Genomic DNA, 15537 nt, shown 5'->3' with positions numbered 1-15537 from the left:
GAAGTGATTCTCCTGCCTCACCCTCCTGAGTAGCTGGGACTACAGGTGCCCGCCACCACACCTGGCTAATTTTTGGTATTTTTAGTAGAGACAGGGTTTCACCATGTTAGCCAGGATGGTCTTGATCTCCTGCCCTTGTGATCCACCTGCCTCGGCCTCCCAAAGTGCTGGGATTACAGGCGTAAGCCACGGCGCCCAGCCCCATCTCATTACTTTCTTTTTTTCTTTTGAGACGGAGTCTCACTCTGTCACCCAGGCTAGAGTGCAGTGGGGTAATCTCGGCTCACTGCAAACTCCGCCTCCCAGGTTAAAGCGATTCTCTCGCCTCAGCCTCCCGAGTAGCTGGGACTACAGGTGTGTGCCACTACGCCCGGCTAATTTTTTGTATTTTTTTAACAGAGATGGGGTTTCACCATGTTAGTCAGGATGGTCTCGATCTCCTGACCTCGTGATCCACCCACCTCCGCCTCCCAAAGTGCTGGGATTACAGGCGTGAGTCACCAAGCCCGGCCCATCTTATTACTTTCAATGTTCATTTCAATGCTGATGGAAGATCAATCTCAGGGTGAACATGTATGTAATGGACGCATCAAGGGGAATGGGGAAAAGGTATTTTTGACTGGCTGTATTTTACAAGTATACCTTCCTATCCAAATTATTAAATTATTCTTCAAATGAGACCATATGCCTTGACAAGATGCTGTTTTCTAGAACAATCTCTCTCTTTTTAAGTATACATTTTAATAAAAGATACATCCCTTAAGACACGCATTCAAGAAACATTAACTGAGATCCTACTATGTGCCAGATACAAAAATAAATGCCTTCAAGAGGCACATGTTATGGTAGAAAACCTCTGTAAAAACATCTGTTGGGGCGGGTGCGGTGGCTCACACCTGTAATCCCAGCACTTTGGGAGGCTAAGGCGGGAGGATCACCTGAAGTCAGGAGTTCAAGACCAGCCTGGCCTGGTAACATGGTGAAACCCCATTTCTCTAAAAATACAAAAGTTAGCCGGGCGTGGCGGCAAGCACCTGTAATCCCAGCTACTTGGGAGGCTGAGGCAGGAGAATCGCTTGAATCTGGAAGGCAGAGTTTGCAGTAGCTGAGATCGCGCCATTGCACTCCAGCCTGGGCAACACAGTGAGACCCCATCTCCAAAAAATAAATAAATAAATAAATAAATAATAAATCTGCCAGGACTGCATGCAAAGTGTTAGGATAAAAAGGGATACATGGTACAAGAGGAACCTGCTGGAATGTTGCTTAAAAAGCTGTTGTTGCTGTTTTCAGTACTATTTACTTCAGTGTATATATACGTATGTATATATTCATATACAAAGTTTAAACATGATTTTTTTTACTGGAAAATAACTTCATTAACACTGTGGCTCCCTTATTTTTCCTTTTAACACTTCTACTTTCACACACTGTGTTATATAATCTTCAAAATCACCCTGTGAGGTAGCCATTTCAAGCACTGTTTTAAGTGAGTTAATATATGTAAATCACCTGGGATAGTGAGTGCCTGGCAGTAAGTGCTTGAAAAGCGGTCTTGGTGGTGGTTTTTACACAGGAAGAAAAGTCCAAGTCCAAAGAGGGGGTGACCTGCACACCATCTCAGGCAGGTGGGGAGCGAGTAGCAGACAGAGATAGGAGCCTTACTCCTTCCTCTAAGCCCTGTGCTCTTTTCTCAAGCACCCTGCTCCACAAGTTGCCCCAACCACCACAGGGAGGTGCTTCCTCCTAGGAGTTTCTCGCTGGGGTTGCCCCACCTCCCAGCAGTTAGGCTCTACGATGCTGCAATCAACCAGAGTCCCGACCCATGCAAGAGCCCCACCCTTGCTGCAGCCAGGGACTCCAATCCTTGCCTAATGCTAAAACACAGACATCAGATTCTTGTCATCCCATGTTTGAAAGGCTGTCTCTCTTATCCCACTTATTATTTTTAAATGACTGCTCTATTAAAAACAGACTTTGAAGGCCAGGCGCGGTGGCTCACGCCTGTAATCCCAGCACTTTGGGAGGCCACGGTGGGCGGATCATGAGGTCAGGAGATTGAGATCATCCTGGCTAACACGGTGAAACTCCGTCTCTACTAAAAAAATACAGGGGGAGGAGGGAGGGATAGCATTGGGAGATATACCTAATGCTAGATGACGAGTTAGTGGGTACAGCGCACCAGCACTGCACATGTATACATATGTAACTAACCTGCACATTGTGCACATGTACCCTAAAACTCAAAGTATAATAATAATAAATAAATAAAAATACAAAAAAAAATTAGCTGGGCGTGGTGGCGGGCGCCTGTAGTCCCAGCTACTCGGGAAGCTGAGGCAGGAGAATGCCATGAACCCGGGAGGCGGAGCTTGCACTGAGCCGAGTTTGCGCCACTGCACTCCAGCCTGGGCGACAGAGCGAGACTCCGTCTCAAAAAAAAAAAAATAATAATAATAATGAAAATAAATAAAAGAAACAGACTTTGAGAACAACAATCAAGAAGAAAAACTGAGCAAATTAGTAGTAATAATTTTTAAAAAGTACAGGAATTAACATTTGCTGAGCTCTTACTATGTATCAGCAATTAAACACTTTACACAAATTTCGTTTAATCTCAATGACACTTTGAGGTAGATGCCATTATCATCTCCACTTTACAGGTAAGGAAAATGAGGCACTCAGAGGCTAAGTAACTTGTCTAATGTCACCCAGTCAGCAGGTGGTGGAGCTGGGATTTAAAGTCAAGCTCTTAGCTACCACATAATGCAGATGCTTTGGTTCTATCATCATACGGATATCACCAAAGACAGCCTGACACTGGACAGGTGCTCAGTAAGTGCTTCATTCACGAATGAGTAGAGTGAATGCCCCAAGCTCAGACAGAGAAGGATGTGTCATCCCAGGTCTTTCCTGTATCTCCCAGCTCTTCACCTGCTGCTGCCCTGGCATCATACTGTTCCCTCTTTCACTCTCTTTTAGCAGGAGACTACAAAATTGAGTGAGATGCAGAGTGAGACTCCAAGGAACTGATCCTGCATGACCCTGTTCTGCAAAAGGAGGCCCTCACATTTCACATTTCAGGTGACCCACTGCCAACAAAATCAGGCACAAGCCACTTCACCTGAACTGTCCTCCTCCTGGGGGCAGAGTCTACAAAGCAAGAGATCTCAACCTTTTTCAGCCCTTAAACCATTCAGGCAAAAATGAAAGACCCCAACATCCCACCATCTTACCCTTCCATCCATTACCATGCCCCCAAATCTCCCTAAAACTAAAGAGAAAAAGAATACTTGCAAAGCAGGTTATCAAATCACGCTACAAATACAAACATCCACTCAAATTTGCATACACTATGTACTCTGGGCTGGGAGCTGGAGGATCCTATGTGCCTTGTGTGGAACTCCGCACAGGGCAAAGACTGAAAAGTATTCGTTTTCTTCCCATCTCCCATGCTCACAGAGAAGAAAGAGAAACCTAACCAACTCCATAAACTGCGACAAGGGCAAGAACAGACAAGTGCCTCACAAAGAAAGGGCTGTCAGAGAGCAGAGAAAGGACTGATCCATCCTGGCAGGCAGTGAAAACCGAGCTTAACGGATGAAAAGGGTTTATAAATTAGAGAGAGGGAAGGGTATTCCAGGCAAAGGAAATAGTTTGAGCAAAACCACAGTATCAGGAAATGTCCTGCCAGCTGCTGAAGTAGAGACAGCACGGTGCAAAATGGAGAGATGGAGCTGCCTGTGAAAGGCCTGACTTAATGCTACCATGTATATTTGGCGGCAGAAACTGCTTTTATTTCAGAGGCAAGGAAAGGCACAGAATACATGGTGGGCATTTGCCACTTTTGTTCCATTTGTCCATCATCAGACCCGACCCTCCCATTAGCACCCTGATCTTCCTTTGGAGAATCCCCATTGGGCAGTCCTCATGTGAGGGAAGGTTTCCTGCCAGTCAGCTCTGATTAATGCATCCTCCCACCAGGAGTGCGACCCTTGAGGGAATGACCCAGGAAAGCAGAGACAATATACAGATCATGAAGGCGGAGGAGTACTAAGCAGGAGCCTCCTTGGTTCTGGCCCATTTTCCAAATTGGCTCTCCAGCTTTTCTAGTCACTCCAAGAACCACCCTTCTAACAAATCCTTTTCTGTTCAAGCTAGATAGAAGCGGTTTCTGCTGCTTATCACCAAGAATCCTGACTGATAAAGAACACACTGAAGCAAGGAGGCACCTGACCAAAACCCTGTTTGTGGAAGATAACGAACAGCACAGTTATCAAGAGTGTGGTCTACACAAAACCCAGACACTCGAGCACCAGCACTGGTCAAGCCCTTCAAAATGGCTGTTCACTCAGCCTGGAACACAGCTGCTCTCTCCTTCCACCCCTTTAAGACCTCAGCTTATCCCTGAGAAGGCTCCTCTGATCCTGCCCCCTCCACTAGTTAGGTGTTCCTGTTGGACAACATCCCAGACCTTCCACATTCAGATCTTTGGGGGTATACCCTGGGAGTTCATAGACACATTCAAGTTTGAGAACCTCTGTCCTATGCAGTACTCTGACACACATATTCCTAGAGCATGCCAAATTATTCCCAACTTTGTCTAAATCTATCTAAATAAACACCATGCCTGCTCCTTTACCTTCTAAAATCCTATTTACTCACCCTTCACAATTCAGCCCAAATGCCAAAGTCCTTGTGAAGATTTTTCTAATTCCCTTCCTCAGTCCTCCAAAGATTTAGAGTTGTTCCTCTGTTATAGCCTCTGTTGTATTTTCCCATGTATTATGACTGGATGTTTACATGTTAGCTCCCTGAAAGCAGAGGCCATTTCATTCAACTCTAACAGCTTCTAGCACTGTGCTATGAATACAGTGGATACTCATTCACGTTGAAATGCAGCAAGGATTTTTTAAAAACAACTTTTGACCAGAGAAGGGGCTCCTAGACAGACAGGCTTCCTGAATCAAGGCATCTCCCACCTCATTTTCATAGGACAGCGAAGAATATGGAATCCCACATCAGAAAATCCAAGTTCATTCCCCGTCATCAGCATAGGAAGCATTGGCAAATCATCTAATTTCTCTGTCTCAGTGCCTTCATCTATGTCCATGGAAAATGGGCATAAAAATCAAGCCATGGGCAGGCGCAGTGGCTCACACCTGTAATCGCAGCACTTTGGGAGGCCAAGGCAGGTGGATCACGAGGTAAGGAGTTCAAGACCAGCATGGCCAACATGTTGAAACCTCATCTTTACTAAAAATACAAAAATTAGCCTGGCATAGTGGCACACACCTGTAATCCCAGCTACTCGGGATTACAGGAGACAGGAGAATTGCTTGAACCCAGGAGGCAGAGGTCGCAGTGAGCAGAGATCGTGCCACTGCACCCTAGCCTGGGCGACAGAGCAGGACTCTTGTGGGGGTGGGGGGTGGGGGTGGAAATCAAGCCTCAATTTTATAGCACTTATTAGGAAGACAAATGTATCAGGAGGACTTGGGTAAAGTGTAAGGCCTCACAGGAATGTTAGCACTTGGGAAGAAGCATGATTTCCTTTCACAGCTGTGGGATGGAGGGGGCTTAAGCTGGGCAGACACCAGGTTAGCAAAGCAGTTCCATATCTGGTTCAGCAGCTCGAAATTTCATCACTGTTCCAAACTAGATCCTGAACCCAACAGACCTGTTCCACAGGGCCACGTGGAGGAGCAAGCTTGTAAGGGACATTTAGATACATATCCATTAGCAATTCTCAAGGCCTGAGATATGCAGAAATTTTCTAGTTTGCAAGCCCTTCGATAGTTTAGGATTCATTTCTAAACAAAGTTCCCCAGGGAGCCTTACCTTAAGGCACAGGCTCTGGGATTCTGCTACTCTAAAAAATTCCATCATGTCAACAAAGTTTAACCCTTAATTTTGTGGTCACTTGCACCACACTCTGTGACTGCTCCTCTGTGTCCCACTACCACACCTACAAAAGCCATTTCAAAAGGAAAAAATAAACATTTCCAAACATATTCTAAAAACAGGTCCCCTAGTCCTACATCAATGTGCAAACTGAAGTTCATTCAGTTCCTCATTCATTTTTAAATAGAGCCAAAAGAGGTTAGGTCCTGTCCTCTTCCTTTTTTGTACCTTAGCTACATCATAGGTGCTGCAAGAACTAAGTGAGCTAAGGTACCCAACCCCCACCTTACAGAGGAAATTAAGGCTCAGAAAGTACCCTAGGACCCAGGGGAAGTCACTTTAAGTGTCCAGCATAGAGCAGACATTTTTTCTTAATTTAAAAAATATATATACATATACGTGTGTGTGTGTGTGTGTGTGTGTGTGTGTGTATGTATTTTTTTTTTTTTGAGACAGGGTCTCGCTCTGTTGACGAGGCTGAAGTGCAGTGGTGTGATCTTGACTCACTGTATCTTCAGCCTCTTAGGCTCAAGTGATCCTCCCACCTCAGCCTCCCAAGTAGTTGGGACTACAGGCTGGTGCCACCAAGCCTGGCTAATTTTTGTATTTTTTTTTTTTTTACAGAAATGGGGTCTCACTATGTTGTCCAGGTATGTTGCCCAGGCTAGTCTCAAACTCCTGGGCTCAAGGGATCCTCTCATCTTGGCCTCCCAAAGTGCTAGGATTACAGGTATGAGCTACTGCGCCTGGACAGACACTTCTTGATAAACACATGTTGAATAAATAGCTTCAAAGCACACCACACCACCTGGTATTTGCAACTTAGAAGCCTGCTTACATCAGACAGGGCATGGGACAGAGGAAAAATACATGGGTTCTAAAGTTGCACATGTTGGATTTAGGCCACTGTTCCATCACTTACAAGCTACGTGATCTATGCCTCAGTTTCTTCACCTGCAGCATACCACAGAATTGAAGAAAAGATTGCATGCAAAAACGTATTATGAGACGAATGTAGGTTAAGGCATGGAACGGTGCCTGGCACCCAAGGCCATACACATTCTGTGAGAACAAGGAACTTGTTTATTTGCCAGCACTGAACCTGGAGCCCAGTACAAAACAGGCCTACATAAAGTTTTGAACTGCATAGTGGGTGCTGCCTACACAGTGATTTCAAAACCTGGTGAACGATCAAAAAGTAGAGGTGACTACGGAAACAGTCAATAACTAATAAAGAACAGGATGAGTCACGTTCACTTAGAGAACATCAATGCATCTCAATGTATCTATCTGGGATCAAGATGAAATGGTCTTGTATTCATTATCAAATAAAGTCATGTGTCACTTGACAACAGGATTCATTCTGAGAAATGTGTCATTAGGCAACTGCTTCATTGTGCAAACATCACAGAGTATACTTACACACACCTAGATGGTATGGCAATAGCTCCATTATAATCTTTTTTTTTTTTTTGAGACGGACGTCTCGCTCTGGTGTCCCAGCTAGAATACAGTGGTGCGATTTCAGCTCACTGCAACCTCCACCTCCTGGATTCAAGCGATTCTCCTGCCTCAGCCTCCCACGTAGCTGGGATTACAGGCTCATGCCACCACGCCCGGCTAATTTTTTGTATTTTTTAGTCGAGACAGGGTTTCACCATGTTAGCCAGGATGGTCTTGATCTCCTGACCCCATGATTCACCCGGCTCGGCCTCCCCAAGTGCTGGGATTATAGGCATGAGCCACTGTGACCAGCCCCTCTTATGTTTTACCTAACTGGATTCTTGCGACAACTATGTCGGAGACAGCACCACCCTGGCTTTGATCCAACAATCCCACTTCTGGTAACCGCTCCTGCCTCTAGACTTGCACATGTGTGAAAGGAAGAATTTACAAAGCTATTCGCAGCATTGTTTTTAATAGCAGAAGACTGAAAATACCTTCAGATGTCCATCAAAAAAGGACTGGATGAATAAATTACAGGGCATCATCAAATGGAAAACCATGCAGCAGTGAAAAAGTCTGGGATGATCTATAAGATACATTGGTAAGCAGAAAGGAAAAGGCAAGGCACAGAAGAACAGGGCTTATAGCATGCTAACTTTTTCAGTCAAAAAGGAAAGCAAAGCAAAAACTAAAATCAATATTTGTTATTAGCTTCTTTTGTAATAACAAATACATTTTGAAGCAGGTAAAAGAAACTAAAAATTTAATTACTTGTGAGGGAGCGGTGGGACTACGCAGATAGTGGGTAGGGCCGGGAGCAAGACTTTTCATAGTACCTTTTTATGTATTTTATTTTGATTCATATGAATGTACTATCTTTTAAAAAAATAAAAATATTTCCAAGTTGTAATTCCCAATCACCATAGTAATTTGCAGCACTGGAAATGTTTTTAAAATGAAAGGGCTACAGCTGATAGTGTGTTACCCAGCTGAACTTGAAGACTCCTCTTTGGAAGATACACGCCCATGAACAAACTCCCAAGTGACTTGTTCACAAGTATTCAGAACAGTGCTTATGTTAAGAAAAAACTGCAAATGATGAAAATGTTCAACAGGTACACAGGTGTGCAAGGGTTTGCCTATTCAGATGGATCACATTAGATTATATGGCTATTACACCTCAACTACTTCAACATACAGCAATCCCTATGTGAAAACACTGTGATATGTACGCAGATAAGCAATGTTCAGACGAGAATCCAGAAGGATACGGACAATTTGATATTTGCAAAGTTCTAATTGAATAAAACTGCTTGAGAATTTCCTTTTTTTAATTACAAATTTGAGGAGTGAAATGATCTAGTTGAGAAAGAAGCAAAAATATATATTTTTTAAAATGCCAAAATATGAACTGAATATGAGAGCTACATAAAAGCCTATTCAATGAGAGGCAAGCAGCATTCAAGAACATTAGGCCAAAGGCCTGGGTGTGAATGTGGGGAATGTTTGTCAAGGGCGAGGCCAAATAGACAGAGGAGGGAGGAGAAACCCAAAGGGACTCTAGTGCCGTGATCTGAGCAACCTCCAAAAACATATCCCAGGAAATGTAACTGGATGAGACCAGGAGACAAAAATGGGTGGAAAATAAATAAGCTGTGGACAACAGCAGCTCTTTCAACCCAAACGTTAGCAACCCTCATATATACTCCAGTGTCAAAACATACCTTATGTCTTTAAAAAGGTACAAAAGGGATGAAAAGCAGATCTGTGCTTCATCTCACTGAGCAGTTTTTCCAAAGCATCCCTCCCTGGAGAAATGTGAAGTCAGTTTCCACTCTTCTCCCACCTCCACCTCCTAGGGGTGTGCTGACCACAACCATCCCCAACACTCACTCCTAGCTCAGCCAGTTGGCCACTCCAACTTTCCCAATGGTGTGAACACCCAGACTGAACTTGAGGTGCTTTCCTTCCCTCATTAGACACACCTTTACAGAGTGCCTATTCAGTGCCAGGTACTGCATGCAGGATACTCTGCCAAAGATGAAACTGGGTGTCTGCAGAGAGAAGCAAGCAGAGGCCCAAATCAGTGCCATGGAAAGGCTCAGGTACTGGAAGTTCCTCTGCAGGCTCAGGTGACAAGGAGGCTGATGGCAGGGGGACTGCATGAATTCAGGTATCAGACACAGCTCTCCAGAGCCCCAACAAGTTGGGACAGTGACTGTCGGCCCAGTCACATCAAGGCACGTTGTCATGGAATTCAGAACATAAAGACAGGATCCCAAAAGCTTCCAGAGAAGAAAACAGGTCACACAAAGGATCAAGAATGGAAATGGCATCAGATTTCTCTACTAGAAGCAAGAAGATAATCAGACAATGCCTTCAAAATTCTGACATAAAACTCTGTCCAACCTAAAATTCTAAACTCAGCCAAACTACCAAAGTGGAATGAGGTTGGTAGAAAGATGTTTTTAGACAGGCAAGGCCTCGAAGAGTTACCTAAATGTACTCTTTCTCAGGAAGCCACTGGAGGATGTGCTCCACTAAAATAAGTGAGTAAAAATCAAGAACTGGGAAAGAAGAGCTTCAACATTGCCCCCAAGGGTGATGGTTAGGGGTTGTCCCAAGATAAGTGAAGGGAGAGCAGACCTAAACCATAGCCATCAGATGGGACAGGAAAGAAAGGAACTGACCACCACATTGCAAGTTTCTGTCACAAGATTTAGGGCAAATTAGTTACAGGAACATAGAAACTAAGCATGTGGGCCGGGCGCGGTGGCTCACGTCTGTAATCCCAGCACTTTGGGAGACCGAGTCGGGTGGATCACAAGGACAGGAGTTCAAGACCAGCCTGGCCAAGATGGTGAAACCCCGTCTCTACTAAAAATACAAAAAATTAGCTGGGTGTGGAGGTGGGTGCCTATAATCCCAGCTACTTGGGAGGCTGAGGCAGAGAACTGCCTGAACCCAGGAGGCAGAGGCTGCAGTGAGCTGAGACCGCGCCACTGCACTTCAGCCTGGGCGACAGAGTGAGACTCCGTCTCAAAAAAAAAAAAAAAAAAAAAGAAACTAAGCATGTGAATAAATGGGACTATTTATTATAAGCTCTTGGAAAACATAAACAACAAAAAATGTAGAAGATCTACCCAAGAGAAATGAACATATATGTCCACACAGCAACTTGTACACAAGTTTGTAGCAGCTTCATTCATAATGTAGCCAGAGTGGAAACGGCCCAAATGTCCACCAACTGAAGAGTAGATAAAACAGAATGCGGTGTGTCCATGCAATGGAACACTACACTGCAACATGATGAACCTAAGCAATATTATGCTACCTGTCTGATTCCATTTATGAGTTGTCCAGAACAGGCAAACTCATCAAGACAGAAAGTAGATCAGCTCATTGAAAAAATTATTCTACTTTCTCCAAAGAGAACTACTTGCTTCCACCTGCCCATCTCCCACTCACCCCTGCTTCCTTTCTGCCTTGGATTCCCTCATCTGACTGTTCTGGCAAGGTTTGGCCTCCTAATACCAAGTCCCACGACTCCTTGCATGGCCTTGTCATCCTTGTTGTTCTCTGTGGCATTGTCTCCACCATCTACAGACTACTCCTTGAAAAGCTAACACTTTCCTAACCTCTAATCTCCCAGTTCTCTCCTCTTGACTCAGCAGTGACTCTCTTCAATCTCCATCCCAGTTTTACCTTCTCCTAAGTATCTACATCTCATTTCCTAATGGATGACCCCCAGGCACCCCAATTTCAGCACAATTAAGATAAATTTTCATCATTTCCCCTAACCAGCTCTTTCTGCTGACTCCTAACTCCCCCAGTGCTCCAGGCTCAAAGTCTTAATGGGATCTTAGAATTCTCCCTCTGCTCTGCCTTCAGGGACAAGCCTTCAGTGAGGACATGTCCTGTCACATCCCCAACACTCACTCCTTGCTCACCCAGTTGGCCACTCCAACCTTCCCAATGGTGTGAACACTCAGACTGAACTTGAGGTGCTTTCCTTTCCTCATCAGACACACCTTTACAGAACACCTAGTCAGTGCCAGGTACTGCAGGGTACTCTGTCAAACTGGGTTTCTGCAGGGAGAAGCAAGCAGAGGCCCAAGTCAGTGCCATGGAAAGGTATTTGAATGAGGGCCACTTCCCATCCAAATTTGTCACCCTTCATCACCTCACACCTGGATGGCTACAGTTTCCTAATTGGCCTCCCTGCCTCCAATCTTCCTTGCCTATCACCACCGTTCAATTTTCTTTTCTTTCTCTTTTATTTTTTTGAGACAAGGTCTTGCTCTGTCACCTAGGCTGGAGTACAGTGGCACAATCTGGGTTCACTGCAACCTCCGCCTCCCAGGTTCAAGCGATTCTCCTGCCTCAGCTTCCCAGGTAGCTGGGGTTACAGGTGCCCACCATCATGCCCGGCTAATTTTTGCATCTTTAGTAGAAATGGGGTTTCACCATGTTGGCCAAGCTGGTCTCGAACTCCTGACCTCGGGTGATCCACCCTCCTCGGCCTACCAAAATGCTAGGATTACAGGCATGAGCCACTGAGCCCAGCCCACAATTCAATTTTCTTAAAAACCCATGATTAATATGTCACCCCCTACTTGAAAATCTTCAACAATTCCCTATCTTCCATAAAACACCTTGCATCTACAGTACAATTTAGCTCCACCTCACCTCTCAGACCTCATCTTCTACTGTTTCCTCACACACACTATATTCCAAGAAATCTCTAGTAAACTTTCATTTCCAAAGGCAGCTTGTTCTAACTCCTCCCACATACTTGTCAGGCTGCTCCTGCCACCCATCTATTTGGACCCAGCAAAAAGGTCACCTCCATGACTGTTTCTTTCCTGATCCCAGTGGAAGAGGATCCCACCTTGCTGCCCTTCCAGAAGACCTGGTGTGTAATGGCACATGAGGCCCTTTCTCAAAATAGAGATATATAACACAAAATGAAATGGTAGACTTACTCTATTATGGGAAACCTGGGGGCCTGGGACAACAGGACGTTCTGCAGTAGTACAAGACCCCAGAGATCAACTAGCACACATGCTTTATTGGGTGCCTATAGTACTTTTTTTTTAAATGAGCCAACATATAAAAATCTGGGTATTTCTTTCTTTCTTTCTTTTTTTTTTTTTTTTTGAGACAGAGTCTTGCTCTTGTTGCCCAGGCTGGAGTGCAATGGCGCGATCTCGGCTCACTGCAACCTCTGCCTCCCGGGTTCAAGCAATTCTCCTGCCTTAGCCTCCTGAGTAGCTGGGATTACAGGCATGTGCCACGACGCCCGGCTAATTTTGTATTTTTAGTAGAGACGGGGTTTCTCCATGTTGGTCAGGCTGGTCTCAAACTCCCAACCTCAGGTGATCCACCCGCCTCGGCCTCCCAAAGTGCTGGGATTATAGGTGTGAGCCACCGTGTCCAGCATTTTTTTTTTTTTTTTTTTTAGACAGAGTCTCATTCTGTTGCCTAGGCTGGAGTGCAGTGGCATGATCTCAGCTTACTGCAACCTCTGCCTCCCAGGTTCAAGTGATTCTCCTGTCTCTGCCTCCTGGGTTGCTGGGACTATAGGCGTGTACCACCATGCCCGGCTAATTTTTGTATTTTTAGTAGAGATGGGGTTTCACCATATTGGCTAGGCTGGTCTTGAACTCCTGACCTCAGGTGATCCGCCCACCTCGGCCTCCCAAAGTGCTGGGATTACAGGCATGAGCCACTGTGCCCGGCCAAAAATCTGGGTATTTCAAATAAAAATCCAGACTTCGGCATCTCTTGAAAAACAGACACTGATACCTCTCTTCCAAGAAGCCTCCCTGGACTTCCGAATCTAAGTAGGCTAGCCCAGTCACACTCTATAATATGGCCCAATTTTATTTTGCTCACAGTGCCCTGCCTAAACTGTTCATTTATTTTACTCAACTTGTATTTCCTCCATCAAGAATGTAAGCTTCGTGAGAGAGAAGACACATGATCTGTCGCGCTCAAGTTATCCTTTGTCCATCATGAATACTTAGAAGCCATTCAATGAGTAAATGAATGTGGCCTCCCTGAGCCCATATCCTTGAAGGGTACCAATGGACTGGAACACAGCAGACATTGTGGAATGAATGGATCCTTGCCTGCCTGCACCTCCTGGAGGCTCTCTAGGTTGCATCCACCCCTTATCCCCACCATACACATACAAAGGAAGTAAATGTACTCACCCTGCCTGCCTCTCCCCTTCCTCACCTGACCGGCTCCTAGAAGCATCCAGGCTGGCTATTTCCTTGATCTAATCCAACTCCAAACCATGTCCAAGACAATTAGTATCCTGCCCAGCCCAAGATCACTGGATCACTCAGGCATTCCACAAATATTTAATGGGCACTCTCACTGTGCCAGGCACTGTTCTAGGTTCAAAGAATTTAGTGGGAATGAAACGAAGGTCTCTGCCTCAAGGAGCTAACATTCAGTAATGGGAACACAGGGGTGAGAATCAAGGGATAATTTTATCTTCAGACCACTGACCTTCAGCATGCCCAACTCTTTTTGTCCTCCAAGGCCCAGGTCAAGAGCCACCTCTTTGGTGTGGTCTTCCTGCTAAGCCAGCCTTTACCAAGCTACCCTCACTGCTGACTTTTACTTGTTGTGCTGTGCAATTTTAAGCTGTTCCATACTGGCACTAGAGTTTCTCATCTCAAGCTCCATGAAGCCATAAAATTCTATGCTATCTTTCACGATTCCTTACAGCTCAGAAACCACAGCCAGCACTTGAATACTTGTTGATCAACTGAAGACATGGAACCACTTTTCCCAAACCTGGCCCCTAGGTCTCCTGTGACACAACAGCCACACCTCTTCCTTGTGCGGTATATAACTATTTTGAGAAAAAGCCTTATGCACTGTTATAAACCAGGTCTTCTGGAAGGACAGAGAAATGGAATCTTCTTCCACTGGGATCAAACCTAATGGACCTATGAAGCCACTGAACCACTGTGGTAGTTTCCAGAGGGTGGTAGTTTCCATTTTATTCAGAAATCTGTGGGGATAAAGACAGTATTAACCACTAGGTAATTTAAACTCATTACAAATTAAGACAGGGTCGGGTACAGTGGCTCATGCCAGTAATCCCAGCACTTTGGGAGGCCAAGACAGGAGGACTGCATGTGCCTGGAAGTTGAAGACTAGCCTGGGCAACACAGTGAGACTGGCTCTACCATATATATATAAATTAGCTAGGTGTGGTGGCACATGCCTTAGTCCTAACTACTCGGGAAGCTGAGCTGGGAGGATTGCTTAAGCCCAAGAGTTCAAGGCTGCAGTGAGCTATGATTGTGCCACTGCACTCCAGCCTGGGCAACAGCCAGACACTGTCTCTAAAAAAAATTAGGTGGCTCGGCCAGGCACGGTGGCTCGGCCAGGTACAGTGGCTCATGCCTGTAATCTCAGCACTTTAGGAGGCCAAGGTGGGCGGATCACCTGAGGTTGGGAGTTGGAGACCAGCCCGACCAACATGGAGAAACCCTGTCTCTACTAAAAATACAAAATTAGCCGGGCGTGGTGGCGCATGCCTGTAATCCCAGCTACTCGGGAGGCTGAGACAGGAGAATCGCCTGAACTCGGGAGGTGGAGGTTGCGGTGAGCCGAGATCGCGCCATTGCACTCCAGCCTGGGCAACAATAGCGAAACTCCATCTCAAAAAAAAAAAAAAAAAATTTAGGTGGCTCACACCTGTAATCCTAGCACTTTGGGAGGCCAAGGCAGGAGGATCATTTGAGCCTAAGAGTTTGTGCTATGATTGTGCCACTGCATTCCAGCCTGGGTGACAGAATGAGACCCTGTCTCAAAAAATAACTAAATAAATAAAAATTTAAATTTAAAAATCAGATAAACAAAATAAGACAAATAGGAATTGATCATGGAATAGGAATGCAAAATGCACATGAATTTCTTTCTGTGCCCTTGCAGGTAGGCAGCTATAGACATACAGTACTTTCTACTGGCTGTGTAATCTTCAGTAAATTAATGAACCACCCTGGGCCTCACTTTCAGGATCAGTGAGAGGGAGATGACAAGTATAACAGTTCTCTCTACCTGACAGGGTTGTTAGGAAGATTGAGAACATTAACGTGTATAACTGTTTAACACCGTCTGGCACAGAAGTTCTCAAAACATGTTAGCTGCCCTTGCTAT

The 15537-nt window shown here is 45.2% G+C and overlaps 1 protein-coding gene across 7 annotated transcripts in view, besides 3 other annotated features; it reads right to left on the bottom strand.

Moving 5' to 3' along the window:
• Positions 1 to 15537, bottom strand: part of SREBF2 (sterol regulatory element binding transcription factor 2) — a 74201-nt gene that overhangs the window by 56937 nt on the left and 1727 nt on the right. The gene's annotated exons all lie outside the window — the stretch shown is intronic.
• Positions 3105 to 3905: an enhancer, noted in NCBI's record as "H3K4me1 hESC enhancer chr22:42242468-42243268 (GRCh37/hg19 assembly coordinates)". NCBI's record gives its function as "activates a minimal SCP1, AML or CMV promoter by ChIP-STARR-seq in primed H9 embryonic stem cells {active_cell/tissue: H9 hESC(primed)}" and the evidence as "EXISTENCE:reporter gene assay evidence [ECO:0000049][PMID:30033119]".
• Positions 14347 to 14846: an enhancer, noted in NCBI's record as "H3K4me1 hESC enhancer chr22:42231527-42232026 (GRCh37/hg19 assembly coordinates)". NCBI's record gives its function as "activates a minimal SCP1, AML or CMV promoter by ChIP-STARR-seq in primed H9 embryonic stem cells {active_cell/tissue: H9 hESC(primed)}" and the evidence as "EXISTENCE:reporter gene assay evidence [ECO:0000049][PMID:30033119]".
• Positions 14847 to 15348: an enhancer, noted in NCBI's record as "H3K4me1 hESC enhancer chr22:42231025-42231526 (GRCh37/hg19 assembly coordinates)". NCBI's record gives its function as "activates a minimal SCP1, AML or CMV promoter by ChIP-STARR-seq in primed H9 embryonic stem cells {active_cell/tissue: H9 hESC(primed)}" and the evidence as "EXISTENCE:reporter gene assay evidence [ECO:0000049][PMID:30033119]".

This window comes from Homo sapiens, chromosome 22, assembly GCF_000001405.40.
Source record: "Homo sapiens chromosome 22, GRCh38.p14 Primary Assembly".
Taxonomy (NCBI): Eukaryota; Metazoa; Chordata; class Mammalia; order Primates; family Hominidae; genus Homo; species Homo sapiens.
The sequence above is the reverse complement of the archived record's forward strand: the minus strand, read 5'-3'. Positions and strand labels throughout refer to the sequence as shown.